The sequence below is a fragment of the Homo sapiens genome, chromosome 6, assembly GCF_000001405.40.
Source record: "Homo sapiens chromosome 6, GRCh38.p14 Primary Assembly".
In the NCBI taxonomy this organism is placed as follows: Eukaryota; Metazoa; Chordata; class Mammalia; order Primates; family Hominidae; genus Homo; species Homo sapiens.
In genome coordinates this window covers 102,073,115-102,094,489 of record NC_000006.12, presented here as the reverse complement: position 1 = coordinate 102,094,489, position 21,375 = coordinate 102,073,115, and the positions used below count along the sequence as shown (strand labels likewise).

Below are 21,375 nucleotides of genomic sequence, written 5' to 3'. Positions count from 1 at the left end.
TATCAAAAATATTAAATTTTGGCAATTTATTTTAATAGATTTCTAGAACTAGAACTTTATTATTAATACTTTTATTAAGTATAAAACCTCATTTTTTTCTTATTTATAATTTCCTATAGATTCACTTACTTTTGAGATGCATAATAACATTCCTCACCAATTACTGACTGTCCGGATGAGTATTAATTAAACCTAAACACAGATGTGTGGTTCATTGAGAATTGTGACAAACCTTGGAAGAACTCAAAGTATTAATTAAAATTTTTTTTTAATATTATTATACTTTAAGTTTTAGGGTACATGTGCACATTGTGCAGGTTAGTTACATGTGTATACGTGTGCCATGCTGGTGTGCTGCACCCACTAACTCCTCATCTAGCATTAGGTATATCTCCCAATGCTATCCCTCCCCCTCCCCCCACCCCACAACAGTCCCCAGAGTGTGATATTCCCCTTCCTGTGTCCATGTGATCTCATTGTTCAATTCCCACCTATGAGTGAGAATATGCGGTGTTTGGTTTTTTGTTCTTGCGATAGTTTACTGAGAATGATGATTTCCAATTTCATCCATGTCCCTACAAAGTACATGAACTCATCATTTTTTATGGCCGCATAATATTCCATGGTGTATATGTGCCACATTTTCTTAATCCAGTCTATCCTTGTTGGACATTTGGGTTGGTTCCAAGTCTTTGCTATTGTGAATAATGCCGCAATAAACATACGTGTGCGTGTGTCTTTATAGCAGCATGATTTATAGTCCTTTGGGTATATACCCAGTAATGGGATGGCTGGGTCAAATGGTATTTCTAGTTCTAGATCCCTGAGGAATCACCACACTGACTTCCACAATGGTTGAACTAGTTTACAGTCCCACCAACAGTGTAAAAGTGTTCCTATTTCTCCACATCCTCTCCAGCACCTGTTGTTTCCTGACTTTTTAATGATTGCCATTCTAACTGGTGTGAGATGGTATCTCATTGTGGTTTTGATTTGCATTTCTCTGATGGCCAGTGATGATGAACATTTTTTCATGTATTTTTTGGCTGCATAAATGTCTTCTTTTGAGAAGTGTCTGTTCATGTCCTTCACCCACTTTTTGATGGGGTTGTTTGTTTTTTTCTTGTAAATTTGTTGGAGTTCATTGTAGATTCTGGATATTAGCCCTTTGTCAGATGAGTAGGTTGCGAAAATTTTCTCCCATTTTGTAGGTTGCCCGTTCACTCTGATGGTAGTTTCTTTTGCTGTGCAGAAGCTCTTTAGTTTAATTAGATCCCATTTGTCAATTTTTGTCTTTTGTTGCCATTGCTTTTGGTGTTTTAGACATGAAGTCCTTGCCCATGCCTATGTCCTGAATGGTAATGCCTAGGTTTTCTTCTAGGGTTTTTATAGTTTTAGGTCTAACGTTTAAGTCTTTAATCCATCTTGAATTGATTTTTGTATAAGGTGTAAGGAAGGGATCCAGTTTCAGCTTTCTACATATGGCTAGCCAGTTTTCCCAGCACCATTTATTAAATAGGGAATCCTTTCTCTATTGCTTGTTTTTGTCAGGTTTGTCAAAGATCAGATAGTTGTAGATATGTGGCGTTATTTCTGAGGGCTCTGTTCTGTTCCATTGATCTATATCTCTGTTTTGGTACCAGTACCATGCTGTTTTGGTTACGGTAGCCTTGTAGTATAGTTTGAAGTCAGGTAGTGTGATGCCTCCAGCTTTGTTCTTTTGGCTTAGGATTGGCTTGGCGATGTGGGCTCTTTTTTGGTTCCATATGAACTTTAAAGTAGTTTTTTCCAATTCTGTGAAGAAAGTCATTGGTAGCTTGATGGGGATGGCATTGAATCTATAAATTACCTTGGGCAGTATGGCCATTTTCACGATATTGATTCTTCCTACCCATGAGCATGGAATGTTCTTCCATTTATTTGTATCCTCTTTTATTTCCTTGAGCAGTGGATTGTAGTTCTCCTTGAAGAGGTCCTTCACATCCCTTGTAAGTTGGATTCCTAGGTATTTTATTCTCTTTGAAGCAATTGTGAATGGGAGTTCACTCATAATTTGTCTCTCTGTTTGTCTGTTGTTGGTGTATAAGAATGCTTGTGATTTTTGTACATTGATTTTGTATCCTGAGACTTTGCTGAAGTTGCTGCTCAGCTTAAGGAGATTTTGGGCTGAGACAATGGGGTTTTCTAGATATACAATCATGTCATCTGCAAACAGGGACAATTTGACTTCCTCTTTTCCTAATTGAATACCCTTTATTTCCTTCTTCTGCCTAATTGCCCTGGCCAGAACTTCCAACACTATGTTGAATAGGAGTGGTGATAGAGGACATCCCTGTCTTGTGCCAGTTTTCAAAGGGAATGCCTCCAGTTTTTGCCCATTCAGTATGATATTGCCTGTGGGTTTGTCATAGATAGCTCTTATGATTTTGAAATACGTCCCAACAGTACCTAATTTATTGAGAGTTTTTAGCATGAAGGGTTGTTGAATTTTGTCAAAGGCTTTTTCTGCATCTATTGAGATAATCATGTGGTTTTTGTCTTTGGCTCTGTTTATATGCTGGATTACATTTATTGATTTGCGTATATTGAACCAGCCTTGCATCCCAGGGATGAAGCCCACTTGATCATGGTGGATAAGCTTTTTGATGTGCTGCTGGATTCGTTTTGCCAGTATTTTATTGAGGATTTTTGCATCAATGTTCTTCAAGGATATTGGTCTAAAATTCTCTTTTTTTGTTGTGTCTCTGCCTGGCTTTGGTATCAGAATGATGCTGGCCTCATAAAATGAGTTAGGGAGGATTCTCTCTTTTCCTATTGATTGGAATAGTTTCAGAAGGAATGGTACCAGTTCCTCCTTGTACCTCTGGTAGAATTCGGCTGTGAATCCATCTGGTCCTGGACTCTTTTTGGTTGGTAAGCTATTGATTATTGCCACAATTTCAGATCCTGTTATTGGTCTACTCAGAGATTCAACTTCTTCCTGGTTTAGTCTTGGGAGAGTGTATGTGTCGAGGAATTTATCCATTTCTTCTAGATTTTCTAGTTTATTTGCATAGAGGTGTTTGTAGTATTCTCTGATGGTAGTTTGTATTTCTGTGGGATTGGTGGTGATATCCCCTTTATCATTTTTTATTGTATCTATTTGATTCTTCTCTCTTTTTTTCTCTATTAGTCTTGCTAGCAGTCTATCTATTTTGTTGATCCTTTCCAAAAACCAGGTCCTGGATTCATTAATTTTTTGAAGGGTTTTTTGTGTCTCTATTTCCTTCAGTTCTGTTCTGATTTTAGTTATTTCTTGCCTTCTGCTAGCTTTTGAATGTGTTTGTTCTTGCTTTTCTAGTTCTTTTAATTGTGATGTTAGGGTGTCAATTTTGGATCTTTCCTGCTTTCTCTTGTGGGCATTTAGTGCTATAAATTTCCCTCTACACGCTGCTTTGAATGCATCCCAGAGATTCTGGTATGTTGTGTCTTTGTTCTCGTTGGTTTCAAAGAACATCTTTATTTCTGCCTTCATTTCGTTATGTACCCAGTAGTCATTCAGGAGCAGGTTGTTCAGTTTCCACGTAGTTGAGCGGTTTTGAGTGAGATTCTTAATCCTGAGTTCTAGTTTGATTGCACTGTGGTCTGAGAGATAGTTTGTTATAAGTTATGTTCGTTTATATTTGCTGAGGAGAGCTTTACTTCCAAATATGTGATCAATTTTGGAATAGGTGTGGTGTGGTGCTGAAAAAAATGTATATTCTGTTGATTTGGGGTGGAGAGTTCTGTAGATGTCTATTAGGTCTGCTTGGTGCAGAGCTGAGTTCAATTCCTGGGTATCCTTGTTGACTTTCTGTCTCGTTGATCTGTCTAATGTTGACAGTGGGGTGTTAAAGTCTCCCATTATTAATGTGTGGGAGTCTAAGTCTCTTTGTAGGTCACTCAGGACTTGCTTTATGAATCTGGTTGATCCTCTATTGGGTGCATATATATTTAGGATAGTTAGCTCTTCTTGTTGAATTGATCCCTTTACCATTATGTAATGGCCTTCTTTGTCTCTTTTGATCTTTGTTGGTTTAAAGTCTGTTTTATTAGAGACTAGGATTGCAACCCCTGCCTTTTTTTGTTTTCCATTTGCTTGGTAGATCTTCCTTCATCCTTTTATTTTGAGCCTATGTGTGTCTCTGCACGTGAGGTGGGTTTCCTGAATACAGCACACTGATGGGTCTTGACTCTTTATCCAATTTGCCAGTCTGTGTCTTTTAATTGGAGCATTTAGTCCATTTACATTTAAAGTTAATATTGTTATGTGTGAATTTGATCCTGTCATTATGATGTTAGCTGGTTATTTTGCTCGTTAGTTGATGCAGTTTCTTCCTAGTCTCGATGGTCTTTACATTTTGGCATGATTTTGCAGCGGCTGGTACCGGTTGTTCCTTTCCATGTTTAGCACTTCCTTCAGGAGCTCTTTTAGGGCAGGCCTGGTGGTGACAAAATCTCTCAGCATTTGCTTGTCTGTAAAGGATTTTATTTCTCCTTCACTTATGAAACTTAGTTTGGCTGGATATGAAATTCTGGGATGAAAATTCTTTTCTTTAAGAATGTTGAATATTGGCCCCCACTCTCTTCTGGCTTGTAGGGTTTCTGCCGAGAGATCTGCTGTTAGTCTGATGGGCTTCCCTTTGAGGGTAACCCGACCTTTCTCTCTGGCTGCCCTTAACATTTTTTCCTTCATTTCAACTTTGGTGAATCTGACAATTATGTGTCTTGGAATTGCTCTTCTCGAGGAGTATCTTTGTGGCGTTCTCTGTATTTCCTGAATCTGAACGTTGCCCTGCCTTGATAGATTGGGGAAGTTCTCCTGGATAATATCCTGCAGAGTGTTTTCCCACTTAGTTCCATTCTCCCCATCACTTTCAGGTACACCAATCAGACGTAGATTTGGTCTTTTCACATAGTCCCATATTTCTTGGAGGCTTTGCTCATTTCTTTTTATTCTTTTTTCTCTAACCTTCCCTTCTCACTTCATTTCATTCATTTCGTCTTCCATTGCTGATACCCTTTCTTCCAGTTGATTGCATCGGCTCCTGAGACTTCTGCATTCTTCACATAGTTCTCGAGCCTTGGTTTTCAGCTCCATCAACTCCTTTAAGCACTTCTCTGTATTGGTTATTCTAGTTATACATTCTTCTAAATTTTTTTCAAAGTTTTCAACTTCTTTCCCTTTGGTTTGAATGTCCTCCCGTAGCTCAGAGTAATTTGATCGTCTGAAGTCTTCTTCTCTCATCTCCTCAAAGTCATTCTCCATCCAGCTTTGTTCCGTTGCTGGTGAGGAGCTGCATTCCTTTGGAGGAGGAGAGGTGCTCTGCTTTTTAGAGTTTCCAGTTTTTCTGTTCTGTTTTTTCCCCATTTTTGTGGTTTTATCTACTTTTGGTCTTTGATGATGGTGATGTACAGATGGGTTTTTGGTGTGGATGTCCTTTCTGTTTGTTAGTTTTCCTTCTAACAGAGAGGACCCTCAGCTGCAGGTCTGTTGGAGTACCCTGCCGTGTGAGGTGTCAGTGTGCCCCTGCTGGGGGGTGCCTCCCAGTTAGGCTGCTCAGGGGTCAGGGGTCAGGGACCCACTTGAGGAGGCAGTCTGCCCGTTCTCAGATCTCCAGCTGCGTGCTGGGAGAACTACGGCTCTCTTCAAAGCTGTCAGACAGGGACATTTAAGTCTGCAGAGGTTACTGCTGTCTTTTTGTCTGGGCCCTGCCCCCAGAGGTGGAGCCTACAGAGGCAGGCAGGCCTCCTTGAGCTGTGGTGGGCTCCACCCAGTTGGAGCTTCCTGGCTGCTTTGTTTACCTAATCAAGCCTGGGCAATGGCGGGCGCCCCTCCCCCAGCCTCGCTGCCACCTTGCAGTTTGATCTCAGACAGCTGTGCTAGCAATCAGCGAGACTCCGTGGGCGTAGGACCCTCCAAGCGAGGTGCGGGATATAATCTCATGGTGCACTGTTTTTTAAGCCCGTCGGAAAAGCGCAGTATTCGGGTGGGAGTGACCCGATTTTCCAGGTGCTGTCCGTCACCTCTTTCTTTGACTAGGAAAGGGAACTCCCTGACCCCTTGCGCTTCCCGAGTGAGGCAATGCCTCGCCTTGCTTTGGCCCTCGCACGGTGCACGCACCCACTGGCCTGCGCCCACTGTCTGGCACTCCCTAGTGAGATGAGCCCGGTACCTCAGATGGAAATGCAGAAATCACCCATCTTCTGCGTCGCTCATGCTGGGAGCTGTAGATGGGAGCTGTTCCTATTCGGCCATCTTGGCTTCTCCCCCTGATTATGGCATGTACAAATGAGAGTAGCAAATACAAACAACATCAAGGGAGGTTCCCCACAGATAATGGTTGATTTACTGCCTATACTTCTTTTAAATTACTTGTTAATTTTTTGAGTTTACTCAGCAGGTCAAGTGAATTAAAAATAATCACCACTCACAGATCAGTCAATTAAGTCAAAATGATTGAGAAATTGTCTACATGGAAGCATAACAAAAGCTTTTGAAAAGGCTAAGAACTTGGAATGTGTGAATAAAGATGACTTGTGACAGAGAAACTAGTAAAAAAAATTGATAATTGTTTCTCCTTAAAAGAGAAAGAAAGTATGAGGAGGAGTGTAGTCAACCTGAAGCACAGAAAAAGAAAATTCATGGCACAATGCAAGGTATAGTCCATGTGCCTCCAGTGCTTTCCCAGGACATGATGTCCTGGTCCACTGGTAGGAGATTTTATTCTCTTTTCAGGCAGGCGTACAGTGTAGAGATCCCTGATGCAGTTCAGGAAAAAGAGACCTTGATGCTTCAAGCTGCTAAATGCTATAAAACTTACCAACTATAATCTGAGTCTTATATTACCAGCAAGTTTTGTGTCACTTCTGAAAATAATAATTGGCTTCTATGTAGGTTTTCTCAAATGGTAGAGAATATCTGTCAAATCAATATACATTTAAAGTATATTTCACTGACATTTATAATATTTCATTCAAGTTAAAAAAATATTGTGATTTACTTAGATACTGTAAATTGGTACAATCTGAATTCATATCTACAAATGACATGGTTACTGGAGGTAGGATGCTGGAATTGAGAGGCAGATAGAGAGCCTCACAAGGCAATTTTTAATACCAGAGGTTCTCTGACACAGATTGGACGAAGCAGTGAGAGAGATTCATGACAGGCTTATTAGGTCTAATGAAGGAAGGCAGTTTGATGATCAAATTCAGGCAAACCAGATGCAAATGCAAATCCTAAAATGAAAGTAATATAATGATTTACTGTAGTTACTCAAGATTCAATAAATGAAAAAGTTTGGAGAAAAAAATCCTCTTATTCTAGACTTACACAATGTAATAAAGTAGCCACTAGCCTACATGTCACTATTTATACTTAAATTTAAAACAGTTAAAATTAAATGAAATAAAGTTTTCTGTTCTTCAGTCAAACCAGCCATATATCAATGCTTTAGAGCCACATGTGGTTAATGGAGAATTTATTGCACAATGTGGGTCTAGAGCATTTCCATCATCAAAGAGAGTTCTATTAGACAGTGTTGCTACGAACTGATGCCCTTGAACATTGCTAAATAGTATAGTAATTTTCATTTGCATGAATATGTCACCTTGGATTAAAGATAAAGCTCCCAAAAAGACAATTCCACTGAAGCCAAAACCTCTCAAAACAGACGAAATATAATTTCTAAACTTTCAAAACTTGTGATTTGATCTTGGACTGTGGTGACATCAAGGTATTGTGGAAATGTCCATTTTTTTCTCATTGGAGTCTCTCCCTAAAACTTCAACCAATTGGAGAGAGTATATTTCTTCTAATTATTCATGGATTCATTTATTCACTCACTCATTCAAGACATTGAGTGTAAGAAATATTTACTGGACAGTGTGGTAAGAGGTAGAAATACAAAGATAACTGAGATATAGATTATTCCTATAAGAACCTCATAGCACAGACACAGAGACATGCATGCAAGAACATTATTCCAACACATCATTTTTAAACACATAATTTTAAAAAGGGCCATCCTGTTGGAGGGTTTAAGTGAAAATGAGACCAGAGATAAAAAGATAAGTTAATGTACTATGTCTGAACAAAGGCAATGGGAGACATGATAGAAAGATAATAGTTTCAAAAACACTTAGGGGAAAATTAATACAATTTAACGATAACTGAGTGTAGGGGTTAGGGATAATAAGGTGTAAAAGATAATTATCACAAATTTGTTGTGGCCACATATTTTATTATACCATTGTAAGATGTAAGCCTCCACACTGCTGTCCAAGCCAGTAAACCTGAGAGTTATCATTGATTCCTCTCTTATCTTTGCTCTGCAAGCAATTATGTCTTATATACTCTAACTAATTTCTCTTAAAGTTGCTCAAATTTTTTCATTCCTGTTTCCATTGATTTAGGGTTTTGGGGTTTATTTTTCAGTTTTGTTGTGTTTTGTTCTTCCTTACAGAGATTGAACAGCAGTCACCTCTTTTTTCTCTCTTTCTCTCTCCTTCCCTCTCTCTTTCTATTTTCTTTTCTTTCTTTCTGTAGATTTTTTTTCTGGCTTCAATCTAAAGTCCTCAAAATTGAGATCCCTCTAAACCCTTTCTTACCCTGATGCTGAAGTGATTTTTTTTTCTGTAAAATATGAATATAATCAAATCACTCCCATTTAGTATTTCAATGCCTGTTCATTCCCTATTGCGTAAATTTGAATACTACAGAATGACATTCCTTAAGGCCTTTTCCTTCCTTGCCTCATATATATTTACAACTTCAAATGTAACCTTTGGAAGATATTTAAGCTTTAACAGTTTTCTGAATGAGGAATGGTCTTGTTCTTCTTTTTTGTCTTTAGACTTATCCCCCTAGTGGCAATGCTTACCCCAACTCCAACACTGCCTGGTTATCTTTGTTGGTGTATAAATATTTATATTTATGTTGGTGTACAGTCAGCTTATGTGTTACCTCCTGAGGAGGCTTTTCCCATTCGTGCTTCCAGGCCCCCGTCTGGGTTGGATGCCTTCCCTGCAAGGTCATACATTCCTGTGCATGCCTTGTAGGAGCACTTTACACTATGGGTGGTTATCCATTTGCTGTAGTATGTTTAATCTGTGCTCTTCAGCATCTAGTAGAGTGTCTAGTGGTGACTTTAACCAGGTTATGGAACATAGGAAGAGGAGATTGGGTGGGGGGGAATCTATAAATGCCCAATGAGCAGTTTCATTTAGTTATCCAACAATGAGAGAAATATTCTAGGCTTGATACGTAAATGTTGGAGTAATCAAAATCTAGCTTGCAATAAAGTTGCATAAAATGACCATGGAGAAACCGTATGTTTAGAAAGACAAGAAGATAGGCAGTATCCCTACAGGAATTCTTGATTTCCTTTCACTCTAACATAGAAAACACAAAACTGAATAAAAGATTCACTTACATTGGTAACCCATGCTTTCTTCCATCTTTCTATGTAATCATGCTACTTGCTAAGTAATATTAATACAATTTTACATGATATTTTCTTAATATGATTAAGTGTAATTTCCTGAATTTTCAACTTCACTCTCCTAACACTTTCTTGTCACCAAATCACCAGTATAGCCTTATCTGTCACCCTCTGCTTATTCTTTGCCTATTGAGATTTCACTATTAATTAGAGTCTTATTATTCTCTTGAGATGCCACTGTTCATTGTTTTCTTCAACAAGTATTTGTTGAGAGTCTAAGCCTTGAACTTGTTTTGCAGACACACAAAAAAAATTATGTGACAAAGAATAAAACATTGTCTTTATGCTGCTCATTAAACTGAGAATTTTTCTCTAAAGGTAGGCATGAGAAAATTTTCATTTTAACATTTAAATTTCATTTAAAATCAGCAAAATAAGACTTTGTGCCTATAGATACATTCGTTTTAAACATTTTATTTAAGGTGGCAGGTCATGAATGCTTTTATGAGTTTTTTGGAACTCTTTCTAAGAACAAGACTGCCCAAATTATTCTTTAAAAAGTAAAAGTTAATCACGTAACTCCCCTACTTACAATATTTTTGCGCTTCTGATAGCACTTAGGAAAAAATGCTAAATTCTTTTACATGAGTGTCAAGACCACTAACAATCCAGCTGATGGTCAAATTCCAATCTTCATCTCATGTCATTCTTTCCCTGCTATGTTTTGGCTACACAAAACTTCTATTTTTCTTGCCTCTGTGTTCTCATATATGCTATTCCCTGGGCGGTACTTACAAAGAACTTTCTTCCTTCCTCTCTCTTCTCGTCTAATCTCAATTTCATAATTTAAGTTAAACTTAATATTTGATTTACTCAGAGACACCCTTTACTCATGAATATAATTGCATAACCTGTGCTGCTCCGTATTCATTATGCTGAGTAATTGGTTTAACATGTAACAATTTATATTAATCGGTATGATTTTTGTACAATGTTGGCCTGTCACTATACCATAAAGTCTATCAGAAAAATCAACTCTGTGACTGGGCGTGGTGGCTCAACCTGTAATCCCAGCACTCTGGGAGGCCGAGGTGGGAGGATCACCTGAGGTCAGGAGTTCAAGGCCAAACTGGCCGACATAGTGAAACCCCCCGCCATCTCTACTAAAAGATACAAAAATTAGCTGGGTGTGGTGGCATGCGGCTGTAGTCCCAGCTACTCAGGAGTCTGAGGAGGGAGAATCACTTGAATCCAGAAGGTGGATGCTGTAGTGAGCCAAGATCACACCATTGCACTCCAGCTTGGGGAACAGAGTGAGAGTTTGTCTCAAAAAAAAAGAAAGAAAGAAAAAGAAAAGAAGAAAAGAAAAAAAAGAAAAAAGAAAAATCAACTGTGAATGCTAACCATTAAATTTCTACCCAATGGTATAGTATCTGGCTCAGAAGAGGTGTTTGGAAAACATTCATGTAATTAATATTCTTCCAATTTATATTATTTAGAAAGGAATCTATCATAAATCATAATGTATATACTCTCAGCTAGTTTTGACAAAGATAATAATATCAAAGGTGACAAACAGAGTTTACTTCTGTAAAGACTGAATAATAAATTTAAAAAGTCACGAGCATGGCAGCAAAAGCGAATCCTTAAACTATATCATTATCCACTCAATACTATCAAAAGTGACTGATGTGTATCAGTTCTGTGTCTGTTGGTACTATAAGTACAGCAATATTTTCATGCTTTCCCTACTTTAAAACTAATATTTTTAATTTTTGTCAGCCTAGAAAATGCACACACAATCATATCCAAAAGGAAAGTTTACGTGGCCACAATCAGTGAGTGTATACTATATGAAGGACCCTATATTAAATGCTGGAAGGCTTCAAATAGATATCGTTTATGAATGTCTGTGAGCTAGACTGTGAAAAATAAGCAGTGCTCATTTTCAGGAAGATAAAGGGATAAGACTCTTACAGGGAGAGCAAATATAGGATATTAGAAAATTCATGAAAAAATATTATTCAGTTATTTGGTATGTCTAAAACTAAACATACAAAACATACATATGAGTGCAGTTGAGGGAAATAATACTAAAAATACAGTTTGGAATCAATTTGTGGAAGGTTGGAAATGTCTCTAAATGGTATGTCAAAACTAGTATTTATATCATAGATAGTATTTGAAATTCAAAGATTTTTGCAGTTTTCAGCAAAATAAAATTATCAGGGTTCATTTTGTAAACAACTATACTGAGAGTAAATAGTGGACTGAGAAGCATAATGTTGGAAACAGGAAAACTAGATGGAAGATGTTTGTATTAGAATAAACAAAATACAATGAATGCCTTGACTTTGTATAGGCATGTAGAAAAACCCAAATATTTGAGGGTATGTACTCGTTATTTTCTGTGGCTCCATCACAGTTTTTTCCTGGGGACAGATTATAATTTATATGTATCTTTGTAATTTGAGGGTCACCACGGTTTCTAAAACATAGGTAGGTTCAATAAACGTGTTAAATTAAAAAAAAATAAAGAATATTCAAAGGCTATCTACAGGTCAGTATGAGAACCAATAAAAGTGAATAAATAAATCTGACTGTGAACAGGGTCACAAAATTGTTAATATATGTGAGTCTTAAAATATGAAATCACTACTAGAGATGAAAATAATCCAGAGAACAGCATCAGTAGACAAGAAGAGAGATGTATGTACAGGACAGGTGCACAATAGAGACTGGAGATCTAGACAAGTGCTGAGAAGAAAGGGGAAATAATTAGGTGAGGATAATGCTGTAAGAAACAATCTCAAAGGACTGAGGCAAAATGAGTAATGACACATAGGTTGGAAACATTCCCTTTAAAGTTAGGAAAAGAGAAAGATGTTTACCATTACCTATTATAATCAACATTGTATTAGAGTTCACAGACAGCTCAATAAGCAAAAAAGAAGCTTCAGAAAAAAAGAGTGAAAGAAGAAACAAGACATTCATTGTGTGCATATCATGTGACTCTTTACATAGGAAATCCAAAATAATCTAAAAACAAATATGTAGAAATAAAAGAGATTAGCAAGGTGGCTGAATATATTTATATACATAAAATATTGTTTTATTTTAGACACACATAAACATATAAATTGCATTCTTTTATCTAAGCAAGAGAATATAAAATCCGTATTTTTTAAAAGACACTATTTGCAAATGCTACAACACCTATAAATTATAAATTATCTAGGGATAAATAAAATAAATATATGTGGGAACTTTACATAAGAAATTATCAAAAAGAAAAAGACAAGTGCTTGTGGATAAGAAGATAATATCAAACAAATACAAATTCTCCTCAAGTTGATACAGAGATATGATTTCATTCCAAATAAAACTCTAAAAGTTATGATAAACATGTTTGTGTAAATTGGTTTAATCTGAAATTTAGGTGATGTGCCAACTTACTTCCAAAGACAAAGAATAAAAAAGGGGGATTTCCTCTGCCAGAATAAAATAAAATCTTATTATAATGCTTTATTAATTAATTGATGCAGTATTTGTATAGTGAACAATAAATTTCCAAAGGGAATTAAAAATAAAGCCCAGATACAAATCCATGTACAAATGAAATATTGGTATGTTCCAGATGTAGCTTCACAGATCACAAGGGGTACTGTACAACAAATTCGGTTAAGGAAAATGATTATGTAGATGGGGAAAATGAAAGCACATATTGAATCTGAATTAAAACTGAAATCATAAACTAAATTTTTAGAAAAACATATGAATAAATTTCATTTGTTATTAAAGGAAACATTTTTAAATGGGGTATCAAAAGTGCTTAAAGTGTAATAATAGATGGCAAATTTGCTACCATTAAAATTGGCAAACCTCTGTTCATCAAAACACACTTTAAAAAAAGTGAAAGATACAGTTATGCATCACTTAATGGTGGAGATACATTTTGAGAAATACATCGTTAAACACTTTTGCAATTGTGCAAACATCATACTGTGTACTTCACAACCATCTACACCGTGAGAACAAACCTAAATAAAATAGCCTACTACACACCAAAGCTACATGGTATACTCATTATAATTTTATGGGACAATTGGCGGATACGCAGTTAGTTGTTGACTAAAATACTGTTACGCAGTGCATGAGTTGTACGTAGGTAACATGTGGAGGAGAAATTTGCAGCAAGTAAAATAACAGATTAGATAATATCAATAGTACATAGACTTCTAGTAATTGAGAAAAATAAGTCAATAAGAAACTGGGTAAAATACTTGAATAGATTTTTCACAAAATATGAAACACATGTAGCTAACACCCATTGGAAAATATTATTAGCATTAGTCACAAGCAAAAGGAAAATCAAGACCACAATAGCATCTGCACATATTTGATAAACAAAGACCTTTTTTAAAAATCTGACAAGAACACAGGTTGAAGAAGGAATGTATTATCAGATTCCAAAGTGCTGATTGGTACAGCAGCTTTGGCGGTGTTGAGCATTAACATAAACCAAGGCTGGGATACATATGTATATACATAAAATTTTAACTCAAGAATATCAGAAGACTTAACAACAGTATATGTACTAGCAGAGTTTATAACTTAAAATATTCTTAAATACGAACTGGACAATAGATAAGTAATTTATAGTAGGTTCACATCTATTAATAGATATTGTGCAGCAGTGTAAAACAATGAACAAGAGTTATCAGAAGAAAATATAAACAACTCTTAGTAACATAATTTGAAGATTAAACCAGATGTTTCCAAAGACAAAGTATCATACTTGTTCTCTCCTTGTCTCTGCAAATTCTTATTTCCACTGTGTTTCTCCTGGAGGTAAATAGAAGAAGGTAGAATATAATGAAACTACTGAAAAACTTGGGAATGGTGAAGACAACGAGACAAAAATGAGAGTAAAAGACATTTCTGTGGAAATGAAGAACTAAAAAAGATAAAATAGGAGCTTTTGTTCAGAGACAGTAATTTCAGAGTTTGATAACTGAAGATGAGAGCATATTCCTTATGGCACTGAAAGCAAAGATTTGGCTAGATATGGGGGTTACTAAGATGGGTTTGGTGCAAAGGAGCCTCAGGATAGTTATTGGGTCACTATCGGGAATTACAATGTTGGTGGTGGTGGTGGTGATTGTGGGGGTAGTTTGCTTCAAAAAACTGTTATTGGGCCAACCACAGTGTTTCACGCCTGTAATCCCAGTGCTTTGGGACGCTGAGACAGGAGGATCACTTGAGGCCAGGAGTTCAAGACCAGCCTGGCCAACATAGGAAGACCTCATCTCTAAAAAAAATAACAATAATAATAATAAAATAACTGTTATTTTCTATGAATCTTATTTCATAGTCTAAGAGCGTCTCTGAAAATTTATAAATATATGCTATGACTGTATTTATTCAGTGGCCTAAGCCGTGGGAACTGGACCATAGTATCTTTCACCAACTGAGCACTCCAGTCTTCAGTAGCAAATTACCAAAAAAGCATATAGGATATCTGCACACCTTTATACCAATATGCAATATTGGTTGAACAGTAGAAAATATAGCATTTAGAGTGGTGCATTCATCCTAAAACCACTCCAGAACACAGCCTTAACAGCAGGAATCTGTTCTTCCTTTTCAATCTCTTGTAGACCTCTATCTAAGTACAGATATGATCTCTATATAAGTAGAGATCAGGCATTCCTTCTATACATGTTCACAGAAAATTATGCCGTAGATAGGGAAGACTTCCTAGGCCAGCATCAACCATATTTGACCCACCGAGTGAGCTTCCTTATTGTGCAGTATGGCAACTTCCAAATAATATATAGATCTGTGTTACTTAAAACAGTGGTAGGAAGACTAAGCTAAGAACCTTCTTTGCCTGGATTTGGTTGGTTAATGTTCTAGAAGTGAAGTGCAAGTACCAACTTCAGTACAAGATTCTAGCCAATGTTTTAAGAGGATATGACACTGATTTCAGCTTGATTCCATTTTCAGCAATGGCCCAACCTGCCAGCAGATGCTTTTCCCAGATACTCTTCATATTTACAATGTAAATGTCATTACATTTCTTCTGGAAGTCAGGATTAGTGTAACTTAATCATGTTCCCACAGCAAGGAAGTTAAGAATATCTTCATTTTTCCATCTGTAGGGCATTAAGGGCTGCAGACAATTTTCTATCGATCACTCTCTGGGTAACATGGAAAAATGTTAACGTTTTAAAATGTCATAGTCTTATTTCTCTATCTCCTATACAAGCCTCCCCTTCTTACCCAACAGTTAAAGTTTAGAGAGAGTCAATGCTTTCTTCTAGACCCTCATTTCTTCTTACAAGGTATTCTTTACTGAGACAATCTTGTTTACATTCTCTACATCAGTTAATATCTCTAAGATGCTGACTTTGATATACATGTATTTTTTACCAGACTCTAGTTCATGCATTATGATCAATTTCCTACAAAATATTTTTGCTTAGATTTTCAGAGATGTCTCTAAAAACTAAATGCATCCTCTTCCATTCAAATCTAAAATATTATTACATTTTATTCTATTTCCTATTTCAGTTGATAATAGCAGGTGAGACAGCCATAAATCTGGTACAGATTTGCATAGTGTAGTTGGCATCGCTAGTTTTCAAGAAATCAGTTTTTCTCGCCTTCCAGGCTAGAACCCCCTATGGTGCTTGTGAACCCCTTGAAGTAGGTGAGGACCATGTGACTAGGTCCTGCCAAATAGCCCTGAGGGTGACAAAGGAGGAGACCTAATGATGAGATGAGGGGATTGAAAGATTGAAGTAGCCTGGATTTTGAATTATTACCGATGACATTAGCCATAGAGAGACATTCAAAAACCCACAGCAGAATTTTCATGAATGAGAAGTAAGCGTTCATTTTGATAAGCCGTTGCAACGTCATTATAGTTTGTTACTGTGACCAAATATAATGGTTAAGAATATCAGAGTCATTCTGGCTGGTTTTGAAAACTGTAATACTTTAAGAAATTAATTTAAATTCTCCTGTCAGTAGTTTCCTTATTTATATAATGGTGATAATCCCAGTTCTTGCCTAATAGGGTTGATCAGAGAATGGGAGGAGGTAATTTATGCAAAGCTCTCATTATAAGTTACAGAACAAAAATTGTTAGTCATCTTTATATTTATTATTTAATTCACCATGAAATGTGAATTTTTGTCAACTAATTATTTTTTAAATGTGTTTCTGTTTATCTTCAGTGCTACCAGTTGAGTCTAATCTAAACTAACATGTCTTACCTGAACTTACTGATATGGCTTGCTAAAAAATCTTCATCCCATTATCCACTCTGGTACCTTTTAAACCATTCTCCAATTTCCTGCCTGGGTGGTCTTTACAAAATGAAGATATTGTCCAACAATATTCCTTCTGCTTAAGAGATTTAAACAGTTTTCCATTGCTCTTTAGATAAGGATCAGATCACTAAGGTATGAGCTTGCTAAGATCTGGTCCCTAGCTATATTTTAAATGCATCTCCTATTACATGGGGTCATGCTATGGTGTTCTATCGACACTGTCTTTCAGCTCCTCAAGAACATGCCATGCTTCCTCCTGTCACAGAACTTTTATGTAAACTTTGTTAGAATCTGGGAAACTCTTTTGTTGAGAACTTGCTTCTCATTACTCATAGCTCAATGCAAACATCACTTCTTCAGAGAACTCCACTCCATTTCTGTAGCCAAAATAAGGTTCCTTTATTATAAACTCTTGTACAGCAATACACCTTTACTTCCCATTATCTGTGGAAAAAGACTCAAATGCACTTTCCTGTAAACTTTTAGGAAAGGGCTAAATATTTGACCCTTGGCTCTGTTTGTTCCAAAGTTAATTGTTACAGCACAGTTTACTTCTACCTTGCAAGAAAAGCAAGAAACTTTTTTTAAAAGCACTGCTGAAATATTTTATTGTCCCTATGTAAGCACAAAGGAAAACATTCAAACAAACAGGACTAATACAGGTCAGGAAAGAGTTCAGGTAAAGTTATGTTGTCATATTTTGTATATAATGGGAAATTGCCAAACTGAGTAATGGAGGCCAATAATGTACTAATAGCATAGTTTATGTCTCCATGTCTGGAAGAATCGTACCCTATGCCAAGGTTTAAAGCCAATAGAAGTTAGATATGCCTGAGACAAAAACAAAAATCTATAATGTATTGCAGTATACAACTAGATACTTCTCTGTGTGTCCTTCATAAAGACGAACAAGATTTTCATATTTTCAGCTATTAAACGGTACTGCTTGAGTTCCACTTTTTTTTTTTTTTGAGACAGTCTCATTCTGTCCCCCATGCTAGAGTGCAGTGGTGTGATTTCGGCTCACTGCAACCTCCGCCTCCCATGTTTAAGCAATTCTCCTGTCTCAGCCTCCCGAGTAGCTGGGATTACAGGCACGTGCTAGCATGCCAGGCTAATTTTGGATGTTTAGTGGAGACGGGGTTTTGCCCTGTTGGTCAGGCTTGTCTCGAACTCCTGACCTCAGGTGATCTGCCTGCCTTGGCCTCCCAAAGTGCTGGGATTACAGGCGTGAGCCACCGCACCTAGTCGAGAACTTCTTATGACAGCACATTTCAGTTTAATGTATTTAGCAGCTTATTTAATAAAGCTTGGCCTCTTCTTCTAGACTCTAAACTATGAGAGCCAGTGCCATGTCTATTTTTGATCATCATTTTATACCCAGTATCTAACACAAAATCTGGTTTATAATGTATGTCTGCTGATTTTATTTAACACAAATGAAGACATACATCATTGATGGTGGCAGGGCACAGGCCAATGATAATCATGGTTTTTAAAGAAAAAAATCTTGAAAATCAGTAATAGTTAATATAAGGTACATAATTATTGATAACTAAATGAAAGATATTCTGCAGAGCAAAGAGATTGCCAACTTCTTTCTATTATGTTTTAAGACAAATGGCATCATAAGGGAAAATCTAGGTTTCCCTTAGGGAAACAGGTATACGAAATGTAAAAGAAAACAACAAGGTATGAGTGAATCTGAGAAGAACAGAATGGTTGACATAGCACAGTAAATGATCAAAGTAGGGAGGCGTGTCAACAGAATAAGATAGAGTTTGACTAGTGGAGTGAGAGACCAGAAAATACCAAGAAGCACAGAGGCTACAGTTTGTTTTCTCATGTCTGTTTACACTGCTTCTTTAATAATAGAACCCCTGACTTTTACTGACACAATACTGTCTGAATTAAAGTCCACATTACCCAACCTACCTTCCAGCTAGGCGTGGGTGTATGACTGATTTCTGACCAGAGGAATGTGAACCTTGTGGAAATTGTCTTTACAAGGAAAGGGCAAGACTCATTTTTTTCTTTTTTTACTTCCTCTTGTGGAAATGTGGATACAATGTTTGGAGCCACAGCAACTATCTTAAGTCATTTAATGGCCTTAAAGGCTGAGACAGGAGATTAATGTTAAAAAATTCCTTAAAACATTATAGAAGAACATAAGTGTATTGTGTTTTTCAGTAAGAGCCCTTAAAAAAGGCTCTTATTCCAGGTAACAGTGAAGTATTGAATACATGAATCTAATGTTGCTCCCTACTCAACTACGATAATTACAGTAGAAAGATTTTTTAAGTGCATAAAACCTCAAGAACAACAAGAATAAGGAGAAAATGTCAGCCAAATTTTAGAAGTAGAAAAACACATGAACAAATTATAGTTACCTAAGCAGACTTGAAAGGGTTGCATCCCAAATGGGCAGTGGAAAAAGCTGAGAACCAATCAGTTACACCACAGAATCCTCAAAAGGCAGAGGAACCAGCTGTCCAAAGTGCATTAATAACTAGTAGTATAAGTGGGGGCATAAAATAAGGCAGATGTATTAAGTGTAGTTTCAAAACCTTTAACATGGATTTTGATCAAGATGAGTGAAATTTAGGAGAGATTTTTCAATGTGTTAATGATACTAAATTAGACATGAAATTTTGCAAGTTAACCTTAAGGTTAACTGTATTGCTCATTAAGAGTGTTATACTTCTTGCAAGTATAATATTATAGAAATTTTTAGTTGAAATGTAAGAAAACAATAATCATCCTTTGTAAAGAGCAGAAATATATTTGTTTAATGTCTCTTTTATATTAACCTCACCATAAATGTGAAAACAAGATACAGTGTAATGTAATGCATTAAAAAGGAGTCTTAAAAATCTTACAGTTCAGCATGGTTCATTAAGAAAGTATTCCCTATCTACATTGTAACACATGTTTCTTTAGCTTTAGAAAATAGAAACTGGAATATGTTGAATTAGACCTCAGCCCCTAGGGTATAAATTACACTGGCTTCCGAATTTATCATCATTTGACAGATACTAAAATATGAATCTTCCCAGTTTCAAAAATGTTCTTGAACTTCGTTTTGTGATTTAAAAATAAAACTCATATATTCGTTTTATTCTGAAAGTATTTCCTTTATATATAGAATTAGAAACTTATTTGGTGAGAAGAAAATATTGTCAATACTTATTATATCATATTCCTTTCAATTACAAGAACAAGATCTGCTCTGTCTTCACTCTATTTGAACCAGAGTAGTTCTAGTTTTTATTTGCTTCCTGTATTAGATTTCTGCATAATATTTTGTTTAAAGAGAGGGCTCTTATTCCAGGTAACAGTGAAGTATTGAATATATTAATCTAACGTTGCTCCCTACTCAACTATGACAATTACAGTAAGAAGATTTTTTAAATACACGAAACCTCAAGAACAATGAGAATAAGAAAGGAGAAAATTTCAACAAAATTTTAGAAGCAGAAAAACAAACAAATAGTTACCTAAGTAGACTTGAAAGAGTTCTATCAGTATGTTCAGCTCCCCTGTTCTTTGTTCTTCATTTTAAAGTTTAACTTTCTCGTTCTCGTCATCTCCTTGCCCCTAGTTTCAGTAAACAACCCCCTCCTAGCCTCTATCACCTGCTCCATCCTGTGTCACCCCTGGTCACCTGCTCCATCCTGAGACACCCCTGGTCACCTGCTCTGACCTGAGTCATCCTGAGTCACCTGTTCTGTAACTGACCTTCCCGCCAAACTACTCGCCCCACCATTCTGGCTCCTACGCCTGCTCTCTTTAAAATAGCCAATCGGAATTAGCTTTGACTGTGCGTTCCAGCCCTAGCCAACAGGGGAACAACACAACAGTAGGGGCTACCTGTGTCAGGAATAAGAACCCTTTCCTCTCCCTTGCTCAGGTGTGCTCTCACCATTGCTCCATCCACGAGGTACACCCTTCTATAGAAGTGAAATTGCCTGCTGAGACAATTAAAAAAAAAAAAAAGAAAGGGTTGCATCCCAAATGGGCAGTGGAAAAAGCTGAGAACCAACCAGTTACACCAGAGAATACTCAAAAGGCAGAGGAACCAGCTGTACAAAGTACATTAATAGCTAGTAGTATAAGAGAGTACATAAATTAAGGCAGATGTATTAAGTGTAGCTTAAAAATAGTGGATCCTGTGTTACATCCTTCTTCACTCCTAGGAACTTTCCTGCTGCGAATCCAGCAAATCTCTAGAGGAGAACACCAGATTCCATTGAAAGACTGAGCCTTATATTTAAAATAGCTTGATTAAATGACCACAGTCATTCTGAATGCAGAACGCAGAGATCCTAAACTCTCTTAATTGATGTTTAGCAGAATACTGGCCGTCAGAGCCTTAATCTCCAGCCAGGAAAGTAAAAGACACTTCCTGGGGGAATCGAACAGGCCCAAAAGAAAAGACCCAAAGATAGGGACATTTGGAAGGATTCCTCGGCAAATAGGCCACCTGGATTAATCTATGGTAATGCTCAAATTAGGTAAGTATTCTTCCCCATCCTGCTGTAGAGTGATATAGAGCTTCTAAATCAGATTTT

The 21,375-nt window shown here is 36.8% G+C and overlaps 1 annotated feature.

The window, feature by feature from the left end:
- Positions 20,091 to 21,290: an enhancer, noted in NCBI's record as "MED14-independent group 3 enhancer chr6:102521075-102522274 (GRCh37/hg19 assembly coordinates)". NCBI's record gives its function as "activates an origin of replication core promoter dependent on BRD2, BRD4, P300/CBP and CDK7 cofactors, and independent of MED14, by STARR-seq in HCT116 cells {active_cell/tissue: HCT116}" and the evidence as "EXISTENCE:reporter gene assay evidence [ECO:0000049][PMID:35650434]".